Here is a 25,027-nt window from a genome sequence, read left to right as displayed (position 1 = left end):
TTCATTTATTAAATCCGGCATCCTTACCCACAGGCCTGACTCTTGTCTTTTCCCTGGAGTTGTATTTTCCTGGCCTAGCCCAGAGCCCACCATTTACAAGGTGCTCAGTAATTGTTCTATATGAATGTACTATCTGCATGCTGTTTTGTACGTTTTTTACTCATCTGAAATTTACATGTATTTATCAGAAATTCCCACACTCACTAAAAACACTTGTTAAAGACAATTTTTGAAAATATATTATATTGCCAAAACTTCTTTGTTTTCCGTTTCTGCAAAATTGGTATAGTAGGAGTATCTACCCTCATCACATTTTGACAATTAGAAGAGTTAATGGAAAAGTAAAAGTAAAGTTTTGCACCGTGCCCGGCCCACTAGGACGCTCAATAAACTTCAGTTCTTTATTAAAGGAAGCCTGTGCACCATTTTAGCGTAAAGCAAAAAAAGCGCGTTTGTAAAGAACGGGTGGGGGTAGAGAAAACGGTTAGAAAGGTCTGTCGACCCAACACCGAGGGCCCGGGAAAAAGGGAGGAGAGAAGGGTGAATGACAGAGGAGCCAGCCAATGGGGAGACTGGGAACTACTTCCCCCCTCCCTTTGCGTTTCAAATTCTAAGCTCCGTTTCCATCCGGGTCCTTCAGCCTCGTTCCCGGGCAGTATAAAGTTTGCTGTCTCCTTTGTTCGCCCTCGTTGCGCAGTAGTGCTAGCGGCTTCGCGGTTCGGTCCTCGCACCCGGCAGCCGCCACTGGTGCTGAGCTGCTAGGAAGCCCCTATCGCCGAGCTCGTTGGAGCTTGAACCCATTGTCACCCCTCCGGTACGTGTCTCCTTTCCTCAGTCCGTTTTTCGTGACACTCTCCCCGTGTTAGGACTGGGGATTATATCTCCCTGGAGATGGGGGTGGCGGGCGCCATTTTAAGAACCCAAAGGTTCCGACCTATTTAAATAAAGCTGAGGGGGTCGAGGGAAAACAAATGAGGGGGCCCGTTTGGTTGTATGCTTCTCGAGAAAGTTTGGCTGCCATCTGCGGGAGTTGGTAGCGGAGGTCGGGGCTTTGTAGGCTGGAGCGGGGCGAGGAGCGACCGCACCACGGCGATACCTGCATTGGTATGGCGCTGGCGCTAATGATGGGCATGTGGACTTCCATGCGGGCTGCGGGCTTCGTATTCATTGGCGGCCCCGGAGAAGAAGCCCTCTGAATGTTCCCAGCCAATGTTGGTGGTAAAAGTTAGTCCCCTGACCAGTGTCGGTGGTTCTGGGTTGAATCCAAGTGTCGCCATTTTGTCTTTTACACGCGGTTTTTAATGACGAGTTTTAATTAGGTTCCGCTGCAGTCACGGAGTGTCGAGTGTTAGTGTGTGCGTCCGCGTTCCGTTACTTAATAGCAAACGATGTTGACGATTTGTTTTTATCTTTTTGGCCGGATAGTAGAATTTTCGGTAGGGCGGGGGCCGGTGAAGAAGAGGGGCGGCATAACTTGGCTTAAACTTCACATTTCTCCTTGGATTTAGTAGGGAATCCTAATGAGGAAAAGAGGAGTCGTTGGAAGAGGGCTTGGTGTTAAGGTCCTGTGTCTAGCCTGTGACCTTGGGAGTCTTTTAAAACCATCGTTAGGAAGGGTGTGATGAGTAATTGAATCTTTCAAAGGCAAGAGGACTGGAACTAAAAGTTGCTTTTTCAAATGTTAAGCAGCTGTTGCTTAAGAACAGCTAAGGGTGATCAAGGGTAGTGGTAAAAGTTAAGTTGGCCCTTTTAACCAGTTTTATGTAAATTGCAGTGTTACTAAACTACTTAGTTCAAATTGCTTCCTACTGTGGCTGAGGCTTAGCTCGTTATCGTTTTCTTTAGTTATTAAGGAACAATGGTTTTAGTGGAAAATATGAGAAATGTGCGAAAGTAAAAGTGTCCAATAAACTTGAGGAACTTTTTGCAGTGAGGTAATACTATTCCTTTTCAACAGACTCACCGGCCCAAAAAAAAAAAAACATGGTTGAAGCAGATCGCCCAGGAAAGCTCTTCATTGGTGGGCTTAATACGGAAACAAATGAGAAAGCTCTTGAAGCAGTATTTGGCAAATATGGACGAATAGTGGAAGGTGAGTTGTCTGGCAGTACAGGCTGGGCTATTATAATTAAAATATAAGCTATGATGAATTTGATTGCATTGATCGTCTGACATGATAATGTATTTTTGTCCTCTAAGAAGTTCTGAGCTTTCTGTTTACACATTTACTTTGGTTATTTCATTTGACCTAGGGTAACACTTTATTTTTCTGAAAACTACTTTTTAGTACTCTTGATGAAAGACCGTGAAACCAACAAATCAAGAGGATTTGCTTTTGTCACCTTTGAAAGCCCAGCAGACGCTAAGGATGCAGCCAGAGACATGAATGGAAAGGTGAGATTGTCTACACGATGGATGATAACCTGTTACTAGTGCATAAAATAACATGTAGTTGTCCAAGTCTGGTCTAGGACAGCTTTTGAGTTTTCGTTGTTTTTCAGTATATACCTGTCTGGGATCCACTCATCCTGTTTGTGATCCTGTTCCAAAGAGTATTCTGTAATTGCAGAACCAAATCTAGTAGTGAGTTATATCTTATGCTCGTAACATTCTCTCAGTTCAGAATAATTATGGCATTACATGGTACTTTTTTTTTTTTTTTTTTGATAGTCTCCCTCCGTTGCCTAGCCTGGAGTGCAATGGTGCAGTGCCCACTGCAGCCTGTCTCCCGAGTTCTAAGCGATTTTTCTGCCTCAGCCCCCCCCCCCCCCCCCAGTAGCTGGGATTACAGGCATGCGCGACCACGCCCGGCTAACTTTGTATTTTTAGTAGAGACAGGGTTTCACCATGTTGGCCAGGCTGGTCTCAAACTCCTGACTTCAGGTGATCCAGCTGCCTCCGCCTCCCAAAGTACTGGGATTACAGGTGTGAGACACTGCGAGCCACTGCGCCCAGCCAACATGATACATTTTATCTTGAGATCCATAAGCCATATTTTGATAACTTGGCTTTTGGTTTTGGCTACTAGTTTTGATAACAAGCTGATACCTACTTGGCCTTGTTTTAAATTTTACCATACAATAATGCAGTGGGTTCACCTTATGTTTCAATCCAGATCATCAGTATCGGTTTTAAGTATTAAGAATTTTAAGCGGAAAAGCCCCATTTATGTAAACTGACTATATTTGCAGTGTTTTTTCTTAGACTAATGAGCAACACTTACCCATAACTGCATTTTGAAGGACCAGTTAGTGTCTTAGTGCATAGTAGATGTGCAAATTATTTTTAAATCTTGATTTAATTTAATCGTATCTTTTTTTTTAGTCATTAGATGGAAAAGCCATCAAGGTGGAACAAGCCACCAAACCATCATTTGAAAGTGGTAGACGTGGACCGCCTCCACCTCCAAGAAGTAGAGGCCCTCCAAGAGGTCTTAGAGGTGGAAGAGGAGGAAGTGGAGGAACCAGGGGACCTCCCTCACGGGGAGGACACATGGGTAATAACTTGCGTGGACCTCGGGTTTGGTGTATAAGTTAGGGACTGCAAGCTCACACCAAGTGGATGCTTTGGTTAAGTCCTTGAGGAAAGGTGCCAACTTTTGAAATTGACAACACTTGTTCATCTACCAAAGTGATTGCCAATTGAAAGCATGGGAAGCATGTTTTAGATTATGGTGTTAAACCGTGGACAGTGTTACTTCTTGTCCAAGTAGTTCACTCTGTAGGAAAGGCATTTAAAAATTGATAGGCCAGGGTGTTGGACATGAAAATGAAATCATTTTTATTTTTTAAAGTTAGCTGGGCGTGGTGGCAGGTGCCTGTAATCCCAGCTACTACGGAGGCTGAGGCAGAAGAATCACTTGAACTTGGGAGGCAGAGGTTGCAGTGAGTTGAGATCGTGCCACTGTACTCCAGCCTGGGGGAACAGCGAGACTCCCTCTCAAAAAAAAAAAAAAAAAGTTTTTTAAGACTACCTTCAGTTCTTATTTCCCCAGTTTCTATGACTGCAGTGCATGCTCCATCAAGTACAAGTGAAACTAGACTACCCAAATCAATAATGGTTTTTTTTTGGGGGGGGGGGGGTAGAGTTTAGCACTTGTTGCCCAGGCTGAAGTGCAGTGGCACGATCTTGGCTCACCACAACCTCTGCCTTCCAGGTTCAGGCGATTGTCCTGCCTCAGCCTCCCAAGTAGCTGGGATTACGGGCATGCACCACCACACCTGGATTTTTGTATTTTTAGTAGAGACAGGATTTTACCGTGTTAGACTGGTCTTGAACTCCTGACCTCAGGTGATCCGCCCGCCTTGGCCTCCCAAAGTGCTGGGATTACAGGCGTGAGCCATTGTGCCCGGCCCAATAATGGTCATATTCTTGATGAAGCAAAGAAAACTTTTATAGTGGCCGAGCCTGGTGGCTCACACCTGCAATCCCAGCACTTTGGGAGGCTGAGGCAGGCGGATCACAAGGTCAGGAGTTCGAGACCAGCCTGGCCAGCATGGTGAAATCCTGTCTCTACTTAAAAAAAACCACCAAAAATTAGCTGGGTGTGGTGGCGCACACCTGTAATCCCAGCTACTCGGGAGGCTGAGGCAGGAGAATTGCTTGAACCCAGGAGGCAGAGGTTGCAGTGAGCCGAGATGAAGCCACTGCACTCCAGCCTGGGCGACAGTGAGACTCTCAAAAAAAAAAAAAAACTTTTATATCTTTCTTGATTCTTGTGAGTAGTAATATTTTTCTTTTCTATTTTTGATGCAGATGACGGTGGATATTCCATGAATTTTAACATGAGTTCTTCCAGGGGACCACTCCCAGTAAAAAGAGGACCACCACCAAGAAGTGGGGGTCCTCCTCCTAAGAGATCTGCACCTTCAGGACCAGTTCGCAGTAGCAGTGGAATGGGAGGAAGAGGTAAATGTTCCATGTATGATGATTTATGCTACTACCGTAACACAAAGAATTGAGAGGTGAATGATGCTTAAAATTTTAATTGGCCAGGCGTGGTGGCTCACGCCCGTAATCCTAGCACTTTGGGAGGCCGCGGCAGACGGATCACGGTGTCAAGAGATCAAGACCATCCTGGCCAATGTGGTGAAACCCCGTCTCTACTAAAAAATACAAAAATTAGCTGAGTGTAGGGCGGGTTCCTGTAATCCCCGCTACTTGGGAGGCCGAGGCAGGAGAATTGTTTGAACCTGGGAGGCAGAGGTTGCAGGGAACCGAGATCATGCCACTGTCCTCCAGCGTGGCAACAGAGTGAGATTCTGTCTCCAAAAAAAAAAAAAAAACAAAAAAAAAAAACTTTATTCATGGAGTCTGGGTGCGGTGGCTCACGCCTGTAATCTTGACACTTTGGGAGGCTGAGGTGGGCAGATCATGAGGCCCGGAGTTCGAGGCCAGTCTGGCCAACGTGGTGAAACCCTGTCTCTACTAAAGATACAAAAGTTAGCTGGGCGTGGTGGTGGGCACCTGTAATCCCAGCTACTCGGGAGGCTGAGGCAGGAGAATCACTTGAACCCAGAAGGCAGAGGTTGCAGTGAGCCAAGATTGCGCGACTGCACTCCAGCCTGGGTGACAGAGCGAGACTCCCATCTCAAAAAAAAAAAACAAAACTTTTAGTCATGTGTTCTAGGTGATTAGATAAATGGAATTAGCACTGAAAAAAATTTAAAATATGAATGGGAAATTGTAGAAAATAAAATTAGGTGATCTAGCCTCCGTAATGTCATCTTTGAAGTCAGTCTCATTATTTTTCATAGCCTGAATGTAAGTTCACGTTTTAACTTTTTTCTCTGGCTATGTTTAAAAAAATGATATTTTTCCTTAAGCTCCTGTATCACGTGGAAGAGATAGTTATGGAGGTCCACCTCGAAGGGAACCGCTGCCCTCTCGTAGAGATGTTTATTTGTCCCCAAGAGATGATGGGTATTCTACTAAAGACAGGTAATAGAAAAGTGCAGCTTTTTAAATTAATAATTAAGGTTGAAGGAAAGCTTATCAAAAGCATAAACCAAAACTTTTGCTTTGTAGCTATTCAAGCAGAGATTACCCAAGTTCTCGTGATACTAGAGATTATGCACCACCACCACGAGATTATACTTACCGTGATTATGGTCATTCCAGTTCACGTGATGACTATCCATCAAGAGGATATAGGTAAGTGACTTTGCTTCTGTGGCTTACATGTAAGAAAAGTTGCAATGAAAGTTGATTCTCTGGGACTTAAAGGTTTCTCTTTAATTTAGCGATAGAGATGGATATGGTCGTGATCGTGACTATTCAGATCATCCAAGTGGAGGTTCCTACAGAGATTCATATGAGAGTTATGGTAAGATACTGGTTAAGGGTCTTTAGTATCACCAGCTTGAGTTTTTAGGTTCGTGAGCCAGTTTATTAGGCTGTGTGGTGCTTGCTTTTAAAGGGATGTTTGCTTGCTTTTAAAGGGGTAACTTTATCAGCTGGGCTTTTCCTAGTTTTGTGAGGGGCTTTTTTTGTTTTTCTAAGTTTCTTTTGAGGCTGTTTGCTTGCTTTGGAGGGGATTTTGCTTGCTTAAATTGGCAGCCTTATGTGTTTTCCCCCAACAGTGAAAATACAATTTAAAAATTTTATTAACAAGATCAAATATTTACCATTGCAATATGAAGGCAAGTTCTACAGTTCAAAATTGCAACTTATCACTGGAAAGTGGCTGAGTGTCTACTATAAAATAACAAGCTCTCTGGAATATCCTCTTGAAATACACACCGTCTTCAGTCTTTTCAAACAAACATTAAAATGAATCCAATTCCATATCTCAGCAGATGAGCAAATCCCTGTTATGGCCAGCAATGGCAGAGTTTAAAACCTCCCACCCAGTTGAGAAAGTAAACTTTTAATACAAGAATTCTGTAAATTCAGATTTAAAATGTTGTATATATACAATTTATAGTGTTGCCATATTACCTGACCATTGACCCTGCAGGTAACTCACGTAGTGCTCCACCTACACGAGGGCCCCCGCCATCTTATGGTGGAAGCAGTCGCTATGATGATTACAGCAGCTCACGTGACGGATATGGTGGAAGTCGAGACAGTTACTCAAGCAGCCGAAGTGATCTCTACTCAAGTGGTCGTGATCGGGTTGGCAGACAAGAAAGAGGGCTTCCCCCTTCTATGGAAAGGGGGTACCCTCCTCCACGTGATTCCTACAGCAGTTCAAGCCGCGGAGCACCAAGAGGTGGTGGCCGTGGAGGAAGCCGATCTGATAGAGGGGGAGGCAGAAGCAGATACTAGAAACAAACAAAACTTTGGACCAAAATCCCAGTTCAAAGAAACAAAAAGTGGAAACTATTCTATCATAACTACCCAAGGACTACTAAAAGGAAAAATTGTGTTACTTTTTTTAAATTCCCTGTTAAGTTCCCCTCCATAATTTTTATGTTCTTGTGAGGAAAAAAGTAAAACATGTTTAATTTTATTTGACTTTCGCATTGCTTTTCAACAAGCAAATGTTAAATGTGTTAAGACTTGTACTAGTGTTGTAACTTTCCAAGTAAAAGTATCCCCTAAAGGCCACTTCCTATCTGATTTTTCCCAGCAAATGAGGCAGGCAATTCTAAGATCTTCCACAAAACATCTAGCCATCTAAAATGGAGAGATGAATCATTCTACCTATACAAACAAGCTAGCTATTAGAGGGTGGTTGGGGTATGCTACTCATAAGATTTCAGGGTGTCTTCCAACTGAAATCTCAATGTTCTCAGTACGAAAAACCTGAAATCACATGCCTATGTAAGGAAAGTGCTATTCACCCAGTAAACCCAAAAAAGCAAATGGATAATGCTGGCCATTTTGCCTTTCTGACATTTCCTTGGGAATCTGCAAGAACCTCCCCTTTCCCTTCCCCCAATAAGACCATTTAAGTGTGTGTTAAACAACTACAGAATACTAAATAAAAAGTTTGGCCAAAACCAACCATGAAGCTGCAAAGGTGCTTGCTCTTACTGTTTCAAATTTTTGCAACTCTGTAGTGTCTCACTTTTAAAGGAACAGCTTGATTGCAAAGGAGAAAATAGATAAGCAATGAAGTTATCTCCAACTTCCTAAAGGCTTATGACTTCTAAAAAGTGAATCTATCAGCATTCCACATCAGATTTAAAGCATCAAATGCCTGTGAAACAGCAAAGATGGTAAGCAAAGCAAACTAGTTTTTCCGTCTAAGTCGAAATTGAACACTTACCTTCCTCATAGTACAGTGAAACATACTGTACCTCAAGGCAATGGAAATGCCTTCTAGATTAAAAAAAACTTTTGGAAAAAAGAAATATTCAATAGCGTATTAGAAGTCCTCCAAATTCAACACTTGGATTTTTTTTTTTTTTTTTTAAAGCATGTGTGACACTTAAAGGCTTTATTAATAGAGCTGTTGTTTACCAATGGCGATCTGGGGCTTGGGAGGGGGTATTTTTTTCAAAGTCCATTTTTGATGAAGACCTTTAAACATGCTTCGTATGTTTTTAACATTTTTTTCAAATTAGTCTTTTAGTCAATATAGGAAATGGCTTAAGTTTGGGGTCCCCCTTTTTACCCCTGTAAGCCATTGCAAACTTGACATTTAGTTGGATGCCTGACTTGTTTTTAGTTCTATGAAACTACACTGTATGGAGAAAATCTATTGCAAGTGGTCTTTAAAAAGCAAAACCTGAGGCAGCATGACCCAGGTCCAGCCATGAAGTTGAAAAAGATGCTCTTGAATATAGTAAACTTGAAGACCTCCAACTAAAAATCCTTATACTGCACTTATTCCTTCAAATAAGTTTTGTTCGTTCAACTTATGGATTTAACGTGGCAGTGCACCATTGGAACAGAATGACAATCCATAAGCCATGCAACTTAACAATTTAAGCCATTCCAGTCCATCCCGAGCCAGTGAATCTTCCACCACTTAAGACAAATAGTAGAACATGAAATATATTAAGCTGCAAGTCTGAACTTGCCTTTTCTTTCTGGAAAAGAGGGCAGTAATAGGCAAGTTTTAAAAGAATTTCCTTAAGAGAGATAACTAGTTTTCATTTATTTAACTTTTGCAGGTTGGTGATTTTGCTCATTATGGTCGTGGAGTGCTGATTGATTCACAGTAGATAAAGCTGGCAGTAAGAAATGCTAAGGTAAGTGTTGAAAGCAATGGCCTTTGAAGGTTTAAATGTTGTGTAACTACCATTTAGTTTAGCTGTGACATTGGCAAGTTATTGTGGTCCTCACTTCATCTGTAAAAGAAAACGCTGCTTGGAATTGATGAAGTTAAGTGCTTTAATGTGTAGTGCCTGACACATTCATTGTGAATTTAGAGTGAGGTTACATTTCCGTGAGTCTGGCTCATTCATGAGATTATTCTTAGCTATTTTTGAACCCATAAAGCTTGCTTATAGCTCTTCATATGCAAGCATTCTCAACAAGGAAGTACACACGTAAGAAGTTTGCTCAGCTGGGCACCATGGCTCGTGCCTTTAATCCCAGGACTTTGGGAGGCCAAGGCGGGCAGACCATGAGGTCAGGAGTTCGAGACCAGTCTGGCAAACATGGTGAAACCTCATCTGTACTAGAAAAAAAAAAAAAAAAAAAAACACCGGGCGTGGTGGTGTGCGCCTGTAATCCCAGCTACTGGGGAGGCTGAGGCAGAATTGCTTGAACCCAGGAGGCAGAGGTTGCAGTGAGCCGAGATCACGCCATTGCACTCCAGCCTGGGCAACAGCAAGACCCTGTCTCAAGAAGAGGAAAAAAAAAATTTGCTCAGTGCATTTTGTAAAAGGATATACTTTCGTTGTTACTAGTTAGTGCTTGCTCATTTGCATAGCTACAATACAAATTGACTAAATGTGGAGTTAATGATGCAACTGTGGCTGCAAGCTCCCTGTTTAACATAATTTTATTGACATTGACATAATGACGACATAGTATGTAATTTCAATATTACCTTTTTTTTTTTTTTTTTGAGACGGAGTCTTGCTCTGTTGCCCAGGCTGGAGTGCAGTGGCGCGATCTCGGCTCACTGCAAGCTCTGCCTCCCGGGTTCACGCCATTCTCCTGTGCCTCAGCCTCCCCCAGTAGCTGGGACTACAGGTGCACACTGCCACGCCCGGCTGATTTTTTGTATTTTTAGTAGAGATGGGGTTTTACTGTGTTAGGATGGTCTCGATCTCCTGACCTTGTGATCTGCCTGCCTCGCCTCCCAAAGTGCTGGGATTATAGGCATGAGCCACCGCACCTGGCCGCCTATGGTTGATTTTTTAAGCTTGCGTGGTTTTTTTTTTTTCTTCTCTTCTGAGACAGTTTTGCACTTGTTGCCCAGGCTAGAGTGCAATGGTGTGATCTCAGCTCACTGCAACCTCTGCTTCCCAGGTTCAAGTGATTTTCCTGCCTCAGCTTTCCAAGTAGCTGGGATTACAGGTGCCTGCCACTATGTCGGTTATTATTATTATTATTATTTGTATTTTTAGTAGACAGGGTTTCACTGTTGGCCAGGCTGGTCTTGAACCCCTAACCTCAGGTGATCCGCCCGCCTCGACCTCCCAATGTGCTGAGATTATAGACGTGAGCCACTGCATGCGGCTTTCTTTTTTTTTCTTTTTTTCTTTTTCTTTTTTTTTTTTTGAGATGGCTTCTCAACTCACTGCCTCTCAGGTTCAAGCGATTCTCCTGCCTCAGACTCCCCAAGTAGCTGGGACTACGGGTGTGCACCACCGTGCCCGGCTAATCTTTGTACTTTTTGTAGAGACAGGGTTTCACTGTGTTGGCCAGGCTGGTCTCAAACTCCTGACCTTGAGTGATCTGCCTGTCTCGGCCTCCCAGTGTTGGGATTACAAGCGTGAGCCACTGCGCCTGCTTGCTTTTTAAAGCAGTTACTTTTATTTTCAGCTAAAGCAACAAAAAAGTATATATTTAAATGATAGTTTGGGGGGAAGTACTTTACAGTAAAACAAATACTATGTAACAGGATCCCATGTTTTTCATTTTACAGAGTTGTTGAAGCAGAAGGCGGCTGATTGTCAATAAGTCACTACAGTTGCATAAGCAGTGCTGTCAGAATTGGTTTGGTGCAGGCAATAGATTTTGCCTTCAGGGGTTCCTGTGGATCTGAGGAAGGCATCAGTGTTGATTAACACTCATAACTAGGGAGTGACTGGTAGTTACTTAAAGCAAGTAATTGACCAAATGGAAAAGGGGAAGTAATTAAGGAAATTGGTAAGTGGAGGTAGTCAGGAAGTTCTTGTGGTTCTTCACATAGATTTTACAGCTTTGGCTTTCATTTTGTTTAGCTAAAGTCATGGGGACAACTCTTCAATTTAGAACTTAAGTTGAATTATAAAAATGATGGATATAAGTGGTAGCTGTATCTAGTGAAGTGTCTGTCAGTAAGTGAAACATTTTTTGGTGGTGGCTTATCCACAAACAGTTTAGTTGTAGAATAAAACTTATGAGTGACATCTGGAAAGTAACCATGCTAAGATGGCAAGCACACTGGAAACAATTAGGCCACTTGGCTTTCTTTTGCTGTATTGTTTTATAAGCCTACTTTACCTCCCAGTCTTGGAAACAAGTTTTAGTTTTTTATTGGTTTGGAGACTAGAGCCAATAGTATAATGTTCTCAAAGGAAACAGACTTGAGTTGTTGGATTAGAGGAACTAACCCAACTTATATGATTTTTTTTTTGTTTTTGTCGTGTAGTTATGGCACTGTCTTATTTGGAACATTTGCAACTAGGGATAATACAACATTTTTAACTCTCATTTGACAACCTACTACTAATCACAGACCACAAGGGTAATGACCAAATTTATGTGGTTTTTGCACTCCATAGTTGTCTTAGCCCAATCTTTCTATACTCTTACGATTACTTGGGTTAACGCTTCTGTGAGGACCTTCTGGCTCTTGAGATACCCTAAATATTTAAGATATTTAGATATCTTGAAGATAGTATAGGATATAGAGATTGTACCAAATAGGAATATAAGGAGTATGTTAAAATGACCAGATACCTGTTTGATAGTTTACTGACCTAGCAGATGTGTGGAAAAGGAATCAGATCTTGATTCTTCTGGGTTTATACTGGTTGTAAAACAGAATGATACAGAAAATGTTTTCCTTGTTTAACTGGTAGTTGAACATAGAACTTGGGTATTATAGATCACTTTTCACTTTTTGGAATGTTTTGTATTGAAACTTAATAAAACTTTAACATGGCATCTTTTTTTGTGGCAAGGGGCTCTTCTTTACTTAGAAATTAGGGGTTTATGTTTTTAAATGTTTTTCCCATGTCCCCCTCCCCCAAACACTACCTCTGTTGCATTGATGGCACTTAATCAGTTTTGCATGGGAATGTCCAGAGTCATTGAGGCTGTTTTTGTGACTAGGCCTCCTTTATTGAGAGTGAGCTTCAGGGGGAATGTAGATGACTTCATTCAGTCCTCACCCTAAAAGTTAAATGGAAGCACAATCACACACCTAAGAAGCAGAGGCTAAATAAACCAGGAGTCAACTGTAGTGCTTTTATGTAATTCCTGCTTACCTCTTGGGGAAAAACAGGTCAGCAACAACTCAGTTGTGGCTGTGGATTCCAAATACTTTGGGTCAAGCAATGCATGTGATAATATGCTTCTGAATTTGCAGTTTTCAGTTTCTCTGCTTTACCTAGTGTCCTGTATATATCTGACTAGTTGATGTTCGTTTGTGTCTAAAACTGGGCATTGCATTTGGGTTATGTAGTCAGTTGAACAGAACTCAGCACATGGAGAAAGAATGCAGCTAAGCATTAAGATGGCAGAGAAAGCCCTAAGTATTGTCATTCTGTAAATAATCTCAGCTCTACACCTGTTTTTTTGGGGGGGTTTATTAATGAGATGGAGTCTCACCATGTCCCCCAGGCTGGAGTGCAGTGGCACCATCTCGGATCGCTGCAACCTCCGCCTCCCGGGTTCAAACGATTGTCCTACCTCAGCCTCCCAAGTAGCTGGGATTACGGGCGTGCGCCACCACACCCAGCTAATTTTTGTGTTTTAGTAGAGATGGGGTTGTCATCATGTTGGCCAGCCTGGTCTTGAACCTCCTGAACTCAAGTGATCTGCCCACCTTGGCCTCCCAAAGTGCTGGGATTACAGGTGTGAGCTACAACGCGCAGCCAGTTCTATACCTATTGTTCCAGGAAAACATCTCTCTACTCATCCCGTCAATACTTTATGTTGCACATGTCAGTATACTTCCTGAAAAGTAACTTGAACTTTTGTATCAATTAGTTCAACTTTAATCAATTTTTAAGATAACATTTAAATCTGAAATACTCAAGTATTAAGGGTACTGTTTTATGAACTGAGAAATGTATACTCTATCAATGATGGATAATTACCATCATCTCAAAGTACTTGAGTTTTAGCCGTGTATACATCAGTAGTTCCATGTTGCCGAGTATGGTATGCTTTCCCATTCATGGAAACCTGGGCCTTTTCTGGTTTTTGGCTTTCATGCATAAAGTTGCTATAAATGTTCTCACAGTAGCTTTTGTTTTTGTAATTACTGAGATGAAAACGGGTGTGGAATTGCTGAATCAGGATAGATGTACATTTTTTGAGAGATGGCTAGGCATTTTTTCCAAAGTAATACTGTGGAAACACTTAGCCAATGATGTGTGAGTTATTCCATGCCTTGTCAGTATCTGGTGTTAACAGTTTAGCCCTTATGGTGAATTTGTGGCTTATCCTCTCAGCAATGAGTAGTACTTGAAAAAAAGTATGGTGAAATGCACTGATCTCATGTACAGTTTGATCAGTCTTGAGAAACGCTTAGCACATCAAGACACAGAACTTAGCTCCGGAAAGTTGTGTGTGCCCCTTCTCAGTCAATAGACCACCTCCCAACACCAGCAACAAACACTGACCTGATTTCCATCATAAGATATTTTTTGCAAATTTTGATTATGTAAATTCTGTTGATGTAGTTTATGTCTAGCTGCTTACAGAATGTTTTCAGATTCATCCACATAGTTGCATGTATATTCCTTTTATTGCAGAGTAGAGTTGCAGTGCATGAAGTAACTATTGATGGACATCTGGGCTAGTTCCAATTTTTGGCTATTACAAATACTGCTATGAGTATTCTTGTACGAGTCTTGGACGTAACAGTTTATTTTTGGTAAATGTCGAGTGGAATTCATGAAGTGACAGGGTAGATAATACAGTAAATCTTAACATTGTTGAAGATTTCTTGAAGGGTTCTTGGAAACTTTTATAATGAAACCAGCTTTACCGTAGGCTAATTGACAAAAAATTTAAGTTCCTGCAACATATTTGTAGTTAAAAGTGTCAAACTTTTTTTGAGACATTGTACTCTGTTGCCCAGGCTGGAGTGTAGTGCTATTATGACTCACTGCAGCCTTGACCTCCTGGACTCAAGCAATCCTCCCACCTCAGCCTCCCAAGTAGCTGGGACTACAGGCGTGTGCTAGCATGCCTGGCGTTTTTTTTTTTTTTTTTTTTTTAAAGAGACGGCGGGGGTCTCCCTTTGTTGCCCAGGCTGGGCTTGAATTTCGCAATCCTTCCTCCGCCTCCCAAAGTTCTGAGATTACAGGTGTGAGCCACTGCGCCTGGTGCCAAATAAAAGCCAAAACACATCTAATACTAAACATTGAAATAAACGTGAGCTGTGCATACGTTTAAGAAAAGTTGAAAAGCTATATAGTTCTTTACCCAGTTACTTAAGAAGAGTTGAAAAGCTATCTAGTTATTTACCCAGTTATTTCAGTTCAGAGTCTCAGGAAACTAGAACCTGTCTAGCCAGCTCAAGGCCAAGGTGGGAACCGATCTTGGCCAGGAGACCATCCCATTGCAGGACATGCTCACACCCACATTCACTCAGATCGGAACCATTCAGACTTGCAAGTTTACCTTTGGGATATGGGAGGAAACAGGAGTACCCAGAGAGAAAGCCAATGCAGACACGGGAAGGATGTGTTAACTCCGCACAGTGGTCCCAGCCAGGAGTTGATTTTTTTTTTTTCCTCAACAAAATGATGTTCACTAAAATGACGTTTTTAAAAGATCTGCTGTATGTTTAATTTTTAAGAAACTACCAGAGTTTTCCCAGAGTGGTTGTACCATTTTATGCCCTCAGTAGCAATTTTTTTTTTTTTTTTTTTTGAGACGGCCTCTCTGTCGCCTAGGCTGGAGTGCAGTGGCATGATCTTGGCTCACTGCAACCTCTGCCTCCTGGGTTCAAACGATTCTCCTGCCTCAGTCTCCCAAGTAGCTGGGATTACAGGCACCCACCACCACACCCAGCTAATTTTTGTATTTTTAGTAGAGACGAGGTTTCGCCATGTTGGCCAGGTTGGTCTCAAACTGACAGGTGATACACCCTCCTTGGCCTCCCAAGTGCTAGGATTACAGGCATGAGCCACCGTGCCCGGCCTCATTAGCAATTTATGAGAATTCTGGTTCCTCCACAACATCCTTAACAACATGTGCTGCTATTGATCAGTTTCATTTTAACCATTCTGGTGGGTGGGGTAGTATTGATTTTAATTCACATTTCCCTGATGACTAATGATGCTGAGCACTTTTTTAAAAAGGCTTTATTTGGGGATAATTTTAAATTCTCAGAAGTTGCAAAGTAGAGAGTTCTCATACGCATTACCCAATTTCCCCTAATTTTAATATCTTACATTATTATGGTATTTGTCAACTAAGAGATTAACATTGGTATATTACCATTAACTAAACTCCAGACTAGGTTGGGTGTGATGTCTCATGTTTGTCATCCCAGCATTTTGGGACGCCAAGGTAGACCACTTGAGCCCAGGTGACCAGCCTGGAGAACATAGCAAGACCCACCTCTACAAAAGAATACAAAAATTAGCTGGGTGTGGTGTCAGGAGGCTGAGATGGGAGGATGGCCTGAGCATAGGAAGTTGAGGCTGCAGTGAGCCGTGATGGCACCACTGCACTCCAGCTTGGGTGACAGTGAGACCATGTCTCAAAAAAGACTTTAGATTTCACATATTTTCTACTGTCTTCTCTCCATTGCAGGATCTACTCCAGTATCTCACATTGCACTTCATACTGGGAGTTTTGTGTTTTTTTTTTCTGAAACGGGGTCTCGCTCTGTCACCCAGGCTGGAGTGCAGTGGCGCAATCTCGGCTCACTGCAAACTTCACCTCCTGGGTTCAAGCAGTTCTGCTGCAGCCTCCCGAGTAGCTGGGATTACAGGCGTCCACCACTATGCTGGACTAATTTAATTTAATTACTTTATTTATTTAGAGACTGAGTCTCGCTCTGTCGCCTAGGCTGGAGTGCAGTGGCACGATCTCCGCTCACTGCAAGCTCCGCCTCCTGGGTTCACGCCGTTCTCCTGCCTCAGCCTCCTGAGTAGCTGGGACTACAGGCGCCCGCCACAACGCTCGGCTAATTTTTTGTATTTTTAGTAGAGATGGGGTTTCACCATGTTAGCCAGGATGGTCTTGATCTCCTGACCTTGTGATCCACCCACCTTGGCCTCCCAAAGTGCTGGGATTATAGGCGTGAGCCCCCGTGCCCAGTCCATATGCCGGGCTAATTTTTGTATTTTTGCTTTTTTTTTTTTTTTTTTTTTTTTTGAGATGGAGTCTTGTTCTGTCGTCCAGGCTGGAGTGCAGTGGCATGCTGTCAGCTCACTGCAACCTCTGCCTCCTGGGTTCAAGGGATTCTCCTGTCTCAGCCTACTGAGTAGCTGGGATTACAGGTATGCGCCACCACGCTCAGCTAATTTTTGTATTTTTAGTAGAGATGGGGTTTCACCATGTTGGTCAGCATGGCCTTGAACTCCTGACCTTGTGATCCACCCACCTCGGCCTCCCAAAGTGCTGGGATTACAGGCGTGAGCCACCTCGCCCGGCAATTTTTGTATTTTTAGTAGAGATGGGATTTCGCCATGTTGGCCAGGCTGATGGGCAGTTTCTCACGTGCTTAATTAGCCGTGTGTATAACTACTTTCACAAAGTGTCTAAGACTTTTGTCTGTCTTAAAAATTGGGTTGCCTGCTTTTTAAATGTTACAGAATTTATTTATTTGTTCTGGATACAAATTGTCAGATATGTTACGAATATCTTCTCCCAGTCTGCCTTGCCTATTTTTTATTTTTTTCAATGAGCAAATGAAATCTAATTTAACAAAAATGGTTCTTGGTTTCTGTGACCTAACAAAATTGCCTACTGCCTGGTCATAAATATTTTTTCCTGTCTTCTAGAAGTTTTGTAAGTTTTTTTGTGACTGGGTCTCAAAACCTCATGACAAGGTTTCACCATGTTGCTCAGGCTGGCCTTCAACTCCTGAGCTCAAGGGATCCACGTGCCTAGGCCTCCCAAAGTGCTAAGATTACATACATGAGACACCATGCCTGGACAAGTTTTGTGGTTTTAACTTTTATATTATGTCTGTAATCCATTTTGAATTTTTTTGGGTATGAGGTAGGTGTTGAAATTGATTTTTTCAAATACAGATAGGCCTTTGAGCATCTTTTTTTGAAAAGACTAGCCTCCAGTACTTCAGTATCTTAATAGGAAACATACATACCTGGGTCCGTTACTGTACTTAAAAAAATTGATCGGTAATGTCTATGTCTATCCTTACCTTGATTACTGTAGGGTGTTTTTTTTTTTTAGACACAGTTTTGCTCTTGTCACCCCAGGCTGGAGTGCAATGGCATGATCTCGGCTCACTGCAACCTCCATCTCCCTGATTCAAGTGATTCTCCTGCCTCAGCCTCCCGAGTAGCTGGGATTACAGGCACCCACCACCACGCCTGGCTACTTTTTGTATTTTTAGTAGAGATGGAGTTTCATCATGTTGGCCAGGCTGGTCTCAAACTCCTGACCTCAGGTGATCCACCAGCCTTGGCTTCCTAAAGTACTGGGATTACAGGCGTGAGCCACTGTGCCTGGCCTGATTACTGTAGTTTTATAGTAAGCTCTCTAAGGATACTAATTTTTTAAAGTCCTAAAGTTTTCTTCCTGCAGAGTGGATTTTTTTCCTTTGAAGTTACTATTGCTGTTTTTTTCTACTTCAAACTTCTTACTAGGGGCTTTCCTCAAATAATTGGAAAGTTTTGGCTCTGTGTTCATGATTATAAGAAGAGAGGGGATTAACATGTTTGTAATCTCTGAGGGCTTTTTTACTGTGCTTCACTGTGGGTGCTGTTTGTTGGTGAACCCCTGTGCTATGGTTTGAATGTTCCCTCCGAAACCCATGTTGAAACTTTTTTTTTTGAGATGGAGTTTCACTCTTGTGGCCCAGGCTGGAGTGCAATGGCGCTATCTTGGCTCACTGCAACCTCCGCCTCCCAGCTTCAAGCAATTCTCCTGCTGCAGCCTCCCAAGTAGCTGGGATTATAGATGGGTGCCACCACGCCCAGCTAATTTTTATATTTTTAGTAGAGACGGGGTTTCACCATGTTGGCCAGGCTGATCTCGAACTCCTGACCTCAAGTTATCTGCCTGCCTCGGCCACCCAAAGTGCTGGGATTATAGGCATGAGCCACTGTGCCCCTCCCATGTTGAAACTCAATTCTCAGTGATTCGTGGATTAATGGGTTAATGGATTATCATGGGACTGGGACTGGTGGCTTCATGAGAAGAGGAAGAGACCAGAGCTAGCACGCTCAGCTTCTTCACCATGTGATACCCTGCACTGCTTTGGGACTCTGCAGCGTCCCCACCAGCAAGGAGGCTCTCACCAGATGTGGCCTCTTGACCTTGGACTTCTCAGCAAGCAGAACTGAAAGAAATCAATTCTTTATAAATTACCCAGTCACAGGTACTTAGTTATAACAACAGAAAACAGAATAAGATACCCTGATGTCAATTTCTTCAGGGGTTTTTTTTTTTTTGGAAAGAATTCCTCAAGGAACATATGGCCAAATCCTTGCCTTGAAAGTATAAGTTGTATTGACTAGCTGAAGGTGTAGTTTTCAGGGTGGCCTGTGTGCCTGCACATGTAATATGCCCCCCCATCCAACTGGGCTCCAGTGCTGCCTAAATGGAACCCACCTCCAGCTGGCTTGGCGCAGATGTTCTTTGTCTTGCTGTGGTGATGAGGTGGGAGATGATCTTTCTGGTGCAATGTTGGAGGAGAAAGGGCACAATGACACATTTCACCCCTAGCTTCTCCTCTGTCCATGGAGCCCCCTCTTCCTCCGTTTTAGGCTACCCTTCCCTGACTTCCATTCCTACCCCAAACTCACCCTCTCCCTCCTCTAGGTGTTTCTCTGTTCTATCTAGACTGAGTTCAAATCCCAGTTTCAGCATTACCAGGTGTGTGACCTTGGGCAAGTTGCTTAACCTCACTAGTTTTCTCATCTATAAAATGGGAATAATAATTATCTCATAGCATTGGCTGCTAAGATAAATGAGTTAATAGTTCCTGGCATATGGTAAATGCTGCATAAGTGTTAGATTTTATTATTTTCATCAATTTTCTTCTTGTGTGTCATCTTTAGGGGTGGAATGAGGGGAAGGAACCAGCACTTTGTTAGATCAGCATTTTGTCAAGGACAAGATAAGCTGAGTTTCTTCGTCTCCTGAGCTCGTCATACTCCTCAAGTATTTTGGTGTATTCTGATTAGTACACACAGAGCCCTCCTCATTTTGTTTTTACTTTACTTCCCCATTCCCACTCCCATACATTCATTCACCTACCACTGGCAATCACGTTAATGCATTTAATGTATGTCCTTTTTTTTTTGAGACTAAGTCTTGCTCTTGTTGCCCAGGCTGTAGTGCAGTGGCACGATCTGGTTCACTACAACCTCCGTCTCCAAGGTTCAAGCAATTCTCCTGCCTCAGCCTCGCAAGTAGATAGGATTACAGGCGCCCGCCACCATGCCCGGCTAATTTTTGTATTTTTAGCACAGACGGGGTTTCACCATGTTGGCCAGGCTGGTCTTGAACTCCTTACCACAAGCGATCCGCCCGCCTCAGCCTCCCAAAGTGCTGAGATTACAGGTGTGAACCACTGCACCCTGCCAGGAAACTTTTAATACTGTTTCTTTTTCCCATTTAGAGGCAAAGTTACCAGCTGAAAGTGAGGAGGAGTGAAAAGTAGAGGTTTGAGGAGAGATAATAAATGAGAGTCATTTGAAAAGTTGGAAAGTGAACAAACTGGAGAAGTATTTGGTATTTTTGAGTCCCATTTGAGATTTGTATCATAAATTTATAGAGAAACCAGTTAAGCATGCTTATGTATTTTTCTCTAGCAGTACTTACAGCTTGAATGCAGGTGTTGATCCCACAAAGCAAGTATACAATAAGGGAGAAGTAAATGCTCGAAGGTAAATTGATGTACCATGAGAAGGTAGAATGGATATGGGACAGTAAAATCAACAATAACTATGCACTACACTATGCTGTCCACATACTACCCCAGTTCCTTATTCTCCTTTGTGGCCAAATGTCTTAAAAGAGTCACTTATGCCTGCTATCTGTAATTCCTCTTCCCACATTCTGTTTAATTCATTTCAGTTAAGTTTTCACTCTCATCATTCCACTGAAACTGCTCTTGTCAAGGTCACCGGTGACCTGCACATTGTTAGATTCAATCCAAATTTTCCTCTTCCATATTCGATTCCATTAGTCACTTTTTCCCTGATAGAATATCTTTATTTGAATTTTATGATACTACACTTTCTTTTCTTTTCTTTTGAGATGGAGTCTTAACTATTTCCCAGGCTGGAGTGCAGTGGCATGATCTCGGCTCACTGCAACCTCCGCCTACCGGGTTCAAGTGATTCTCCTGCCTGAGCCTCCCAAGTAGCTGGGACTACAGGCGCCCGCCACTACCCCTAGCTAATGTTTTGTAATTTTGGTAGAGAAGCGGTTTTGTCACGTTGGCCAGGCTGGTCTCGACCTCCCAACCTCAGGTGATCCAGTAACCTCGGCCTCCCAGCGTGCTGGGATTATAGGCGAGAGACACCGTGCCCAGCCCACTTTCTTTTTCCTTTACCCCACTGATCACTCCTAGTCTCTTACTGATCCTCTTGCCTAACCTCCATTTTTTTTTTTTTCTTTGAGACAGAGTCTCACTCTGTCACCCAGGCAGGAGTGCAGTGGTGTGATCTCTGCTCACAGCAACCTTTGCCTCCCGGGCTCAAGTGATTCTCCTGCCTCAGCCTCCTGAGTAGCTGGTATTACAGGCGCTCACCACCACACTTGGCTAATTTTTCTAGTTTTAGTAGAGACAGGGTTTCACCATGTTGGCCAGGCTGGTTTTGATTTCCTGACTTCAAATGATCTGCCTGTCTCAGCCTCCCAAAGAGCTGGGATTATAGGCGTGAGCCGCCGCGACCTGCCGGGGTACTTATTTTTAAATACCCATTGTTTCTTTTTGTCTTCTCTTGATAGAATATAATCTCCATAAGATGAGGGATCTTTGCCTGTTTTGTTTATTCCTGTCTCCCCAAAGCCTGAAGTTCAACAAGTATGTGTTAAATGAATATGCTTCACTTTTCATAGTTGTTTTTCCAAAAATATCTCTAACACACTTGAACTGTTTTGCATACATCTACAAGTGTACTGCTTTATGGCCACCCCAAAGAAAGGCAACCTAAAGTTTTATGAATAGTTGCATTCAACTCCAAGTGCAGAATGTCTGCAGTCTTATCTCTAAGTTTTCTAATACATAAACTGAAAATGTTAAAATGTATCCCTAAACATTCTATATAAAATATTGGGAGAAGAGAAAACAAGAGTATGATATAGTAAAAGGAGAAATTCAGGTAGAGACTATAACACTTGCTTAGGTAACTGGTCACAAGGCAATAACTGGTAATTAAAATATTCTTCCTAAAATATCCATTTGTATTTTTTTTTTTTTACCTTAGTTAATGGTGACATTTTACTTGGTTTACTAAACCTTCAATCCTGAGGGTTCTAAGCCTGTGTGATACTCTTTCTTTAGCTTTTATGTTTTTTTTTTTTCTTTTTGAGACGGAGTCTCCCTCTGTCCCTCAGGGCAGAGTGCAGTGGTGCGATCTCGGCTCACTGCAACCTCCGCCTCCAAGGGTCAAGTGATTCTCCTCCCTTAGCCTCCTGAATAGATGGGATTACAGGCATCCACCACCATGCCCGGCTAATTTTTGTATTTTTAGTACAGACAGGGTTTCACCATATTGGCCAGGCTGGTCTCTAACTCCTGACCTCAGGTGATCCAGCTGCCTTGGCCTCCCAAAGTGTTGTGATTACAGGCATGATCCATGTGCCAGGCCCAGATTTTGTTCTGTGTACTTTTCATTAACATATTTGTTCCTCATTGCTGGGCGCGGTGGCTCACACCTGTGATCCCACCACTTTGGGAGGCCAAGGCTGACGGATCACTGGAGGTCAGGTGTTCAAGACCAGCCTGGCCAACATGGCCAGACCCTGTCTCTACTAAAATAAAAGTATAAAAATTAGCCGGGCGTGGTGGCGGGCGCCTCTCATCCCAGCTACTCAAGGAGGCTGAGGCACAAGAATCGCTTGAACCCCGGAGGTGGAGGTTGCAGTGTGCTGAGATCGCGCCATTGCACTGCAGCCTGGGCGACAAGAGCAAGCCTCTGTCTCAAATAAAAAAAAAAAAAAAAAAAAAAAAAAAAAAAAAGTTTGCTCCTCACAAGAACCTTTAAGGTAAATACTATTATTTTTCTCATTGAAGTTATAAGGAAATTCAGTTACATAAATAAATTACCCAAGTTACATACCTATATACTGATAGATTTCAAGTCATGTTCCAGAAATCATGTTTCTAACTAGTATGCTACACTGCCTGTCATGTATATTAATCCATGTAATACTTTATGAATCATTAAATTTGAGATGACTACTTGTCATCCAAACAAATGTCACATGTAGAACTAGGTGTTAGTAATGAGGTTGCTGGAGTTGTATGGGTTGGAGGTAAATTTGGGAGTCATGAGCATGTAGATGGCACTATAAGGTATCAATATTGAAGTGGATGAGATCATTCAGGAAGAGTGTAACTAGAGAAGTCCAAGGACTGAATCCTGGCATGCTCCAACATTTTAGAGGCCAAGGAGGTGAGAATGTAGCAAGAAATCTGAAAAGGAGTGGGCTCAGAGGTAGGAGGAAAATCAGGATAGTGTGGTTTCTAGGAAGCCAAGAGAAAGTTGCAAGAATGACTGTGTTGAATGCTGCTCAGAGATGAAGGAAAAGGAGTGAGCATTCGACACAACATGCTACATGCGTTGGGCATACTAACATGCAGTTAAGCCATTTCAGGGGGATGGAGGGCGCACAACCTTATTTGAAGTGGGTTGAGGAGAGAATGGCACAGAAACAAGGAAAGACAAGAACTAGAGTGAGCTATTTCGAGAAATGTTGCTGTGGTGAAGGACAGAGAAAAGCAGGAGGATGTGGGGTTAAGGGAGGTATTTTTAATAAATGGGAGATACTAGAATATAGGTTTTTGGGACTGTTCCAGTAAAGGGGCAGAAATTGACACGAGAATGAGGGGATGACTGGATTACTGAAGTCTTAGGATGAGGGAGAATGGAATCCAAAAAGTCACGGGACGTTAAGAGCAGAAGTATTTCATCCACCACACTATGAGGGAAGGCAGGCAAAGAATGAAGGTGGACAAGCAGAGATTAGTAGATTAGGTTGTGGGACAATAAGGACACTTATTTATGAGATGGATCTCCCTCTGTTGCCTAGGCTGGAGTGGAGTGGCGTGGTCTCAGCTCACTGCATCCTCTTTCTCCCAGGTTCAAGTGATTTTCCTGCCTCAGTCTCCTGAGTAGCTGGGATTACAGGCGCCTGCTACCACGCCCGGCTAATTTTTGTATTTTTCGTAGAGTCTTGGTTTCACCATGTTGGCCAGGCTGGTCTTAAACTCCTGACCTCAAGTGATCCACCCCCCTCGGCCTCCCAAAGTGCTGAGATTACAGGCGTGAACCACTGCACCCTGCCAGGAAACTTTTAATATTGTTTCTTTTTTCTAGTTTAGAGGCAAAGTTATCAGCTGAAAGTGAGGAGGAGTGAGAAATGGAGGTTTGAGGAGAGATAATAAATGAGACAGTCATTTGAAAAGTTGGAAAGCAAGCAAACTAGAGAAATATTTGATAGTTTTGAGTCCCATTTCACATTCGTATCATGAATTTATAGAGAAACCTGTCAAGCATGCTTATATATTTTTCTCTAGCAACACTTACAGTTTGAGTGCAGGTGTTGGTCCCACAAAGCAAATATACAATGAGAGAGAAGTAAATGCTCGAAGGTAAATTGATGTACCATGAGAAGGTAGAATGGATATGGGACAGTAAAATCAACAGTAATGGCCATGCCCAGTGGCTCATGCCTGTAATCCCAGCACTTTGGGAGGCCAAGTCAGGTGGATCACCTGAGATCAGGAGTTTGAGACCAGCCTGGCCAACGTGGTGAAACCCTGTCTCTATCAAAAATACAAAAATTAGCCAGGCATGGTGGTGGGTGCCTGTAATCCCAGCTACTCAGGAGGCTGAGGCAGGAGAATTGCTTCAGCCCGGGAGGCGGATGTTGCAGTGAACCAAGATTGCACCCTTGTACTCCGGCTTGGGCGACAGAGCCAGACTCTGTCTCGAAAAAAAAAAAATAGTAACTATGCTCTACACTACGCAGTCCACTTACTATCCCAGTTCCTTATTCTCCTTTGCTGCAAAATGTCTTGAAAGAGTTATTTATGCCTGCTGTCTGCAGTTCCTCTTCCCACATTCTGTTTAATTCATTTCAGTCAAGGTTTCACTCTCAGTATTTTACTGAAACTGCTCTTGTCAAGGTCACCAGTGACCTGCACATTGTTAGATTCACTCCAGGTTTTCCTCTTACCTCCATATTTGACTCCATTGATTACTCCTTCCCTGATAATAATTTCTTTATGTTAATTTTAGGATACTACACTTCCTTTTTGTTTTACCCCACTGATCACTACCTCCATTCTCTTGCTGATCTTCTTCCGTGCCTTTTTTTTTTTCTTTTTCTTCTTTTTGAGAAGGGGGTCTCACTG

At 42.7% G+C, this 25,027-nt stretch overlaps 1 protein-coding gene and 1 non-coding gene across 5 annotated transcripts, besides 7 other annotated features; both read left to right on the top strand.

Annotated features, from left to right (window-relative positions):
• Positions 563-1,161: an enhancer, noted in NCBI's record as "H3K27ac hESC enhancer chrX:135962409-135963007 (GRCh37/hg19 assembly coordinates)". NCBI's record gives its function as "activates a minimal SCP1, AML or CMV promoter by ChIP-STARR-seq in primed H9 embryonic stem cells {active_cell/tissue: H9 hESC(primed)}" and the evidence as "EXISTENCE:reporter gene assay evidence [ECO:0000049][PMID:30033119]".
• Positions 563-1,761: a biological region, named in NCBI's record as "H3K27ac hESC enhancers GRCh37_chrX:135961809-135962408 and GRCh37_chrX:135962409-135963007".
• RBMX (RNA binding motif protein X-linked) lies at positions 686-12,219 on the top strand. 4 transcript variants are annotated; one of them, NR_028477.2, is made up of 9 exons: positions 686-814; positions 1,958-2,092; positions 2,253-2,394; positions 3,325-3,496; positions 4,756-4,908; positions 5,826-5,940; positions 6,028-6,153; positions 6,243-6,325; positions 6,959-7,950. NR_028477.2 is itself a non-coding variant. In NM_002139.4 (9 exons), the coding sequence occupies exons 2-9, from the start codon at positions 1,984-1,986 to the stop codon at positions 7,267-7,269; spliced, it is 1,176 nt and encodes a 391-aa protein (NP_002130.2). In that variant the 5' UTR covers positions 686-814; positions 1,958-1,983; the 3' UTR covers positions 7,270-7,950. The 4 variants fall into 4 exon arrangements, 2 of the variants coding, with proteins under 2 accessions (NP_002130.2, NP_001158275.1); NM_002139.4 differs by having other exon boundaries at positions 2,288-2,394; NR_028476.2 differs by lacking the exon at positions 3,325-3,496 and having other exon boundaries at positions 2,288-2,394.
• Positions 831-1,290: an enhancer, noted in NCBI's record as "active region_29999". NCBI's record gives its function as "activates an Ori minimal core promoter by ATAC-STARR-seq in GM12878 lymphoblastoid cells {active_cell/tissue: GM12878}" and the evidence as "EXISTENCE:reporter gene assay evidence [ECO:0000049][PMID:35858748]".
• Positions 1,162-1,761: an enhancer, noted in NCBI's record as "H3K27ac hESC enhancer chrX:135961809-135962408 (GRCh37/hg19 assembly coordinates)". NCBI's record gives its function as "activates a minimal SCP1, AML or CMV promoter by ChIP-STARR-seq in primed H9 embryonic stem cells {active_cell/tissue: H9 hESC(primed)}" and the evidence as "EXISTENCE:reporter gene assay evidence [ECO:0000049][PMID:30033119]".
• Positions 1,301-1,360: an enhancer, noted in NCBI's record as "active region_29998". NCBI's record gives its function as "activates an Ori minimal core promoter by ATAC-STARR-seq in GM12878 lymphoblastoid cells {active_cell/tissue: GM12878}" and the evidence as "EXISTENCE:reporter gene assay evidence [ECO:0000049][PMID:35858748]".
• On the top strand, positions 2,140-2,212 carry SNORD61 (small nucleolar RNA, C/D box 61). The gene has a single exon (NR_002735.1). It is a non-coding gene; the product is annotated as a small nucleolar RNA, C/D box 61 (small nucleolar RNA).
• Positions 6,204-7,403: an enhancer, noted in NCBI's record as "MED14-independent group 3 enhancer chrX:135956167-135957366 (GRCh37/hg19 assembly coordinates)". NCBI's record gives its function as "activates an origin of replication core promoter dependent on BRD2, BRD4, P300/CBP and CDK7 cofactors, and independent of MED14, by STARR-seq in HCT116 cells {active_cell/tissue: HCT116}" and the evidence as "EXISTENCE:reporter gene assay evidence [ECO:0000049][PMID:35650434]".
• Positions 24,540-24,619: an enhancer, noted in NCBI's record as "active region_29997". NCBI's record gives its function as "activates an Ori minimal core promoter by ATAC-STARR-seq in GM12878 lymphoblastoid cells {active_cell/tissue: GM12878}" and the evidence as "EXISTENCE:reporter gene assay evidence [ECO:0000049][PMID:35858748]".

This window comes from Homo sapiens, chromosome X (assembly GCF_000001405.40).
Source record: "Homo sapiens chromosome X, GRCh38.p14 Primary Assembly".
In the NCBI taxonomy this organism is placed as follows: Eukaryota; Metazoa; Chordata; class Mammalia; order Primates; family Hominidae; genus Homo; species Homo sapiens.
Note: the sequence above shows the minus strand (reverse complement) of the source record. Positions and strands in the feature narration are given on the sequence as shown.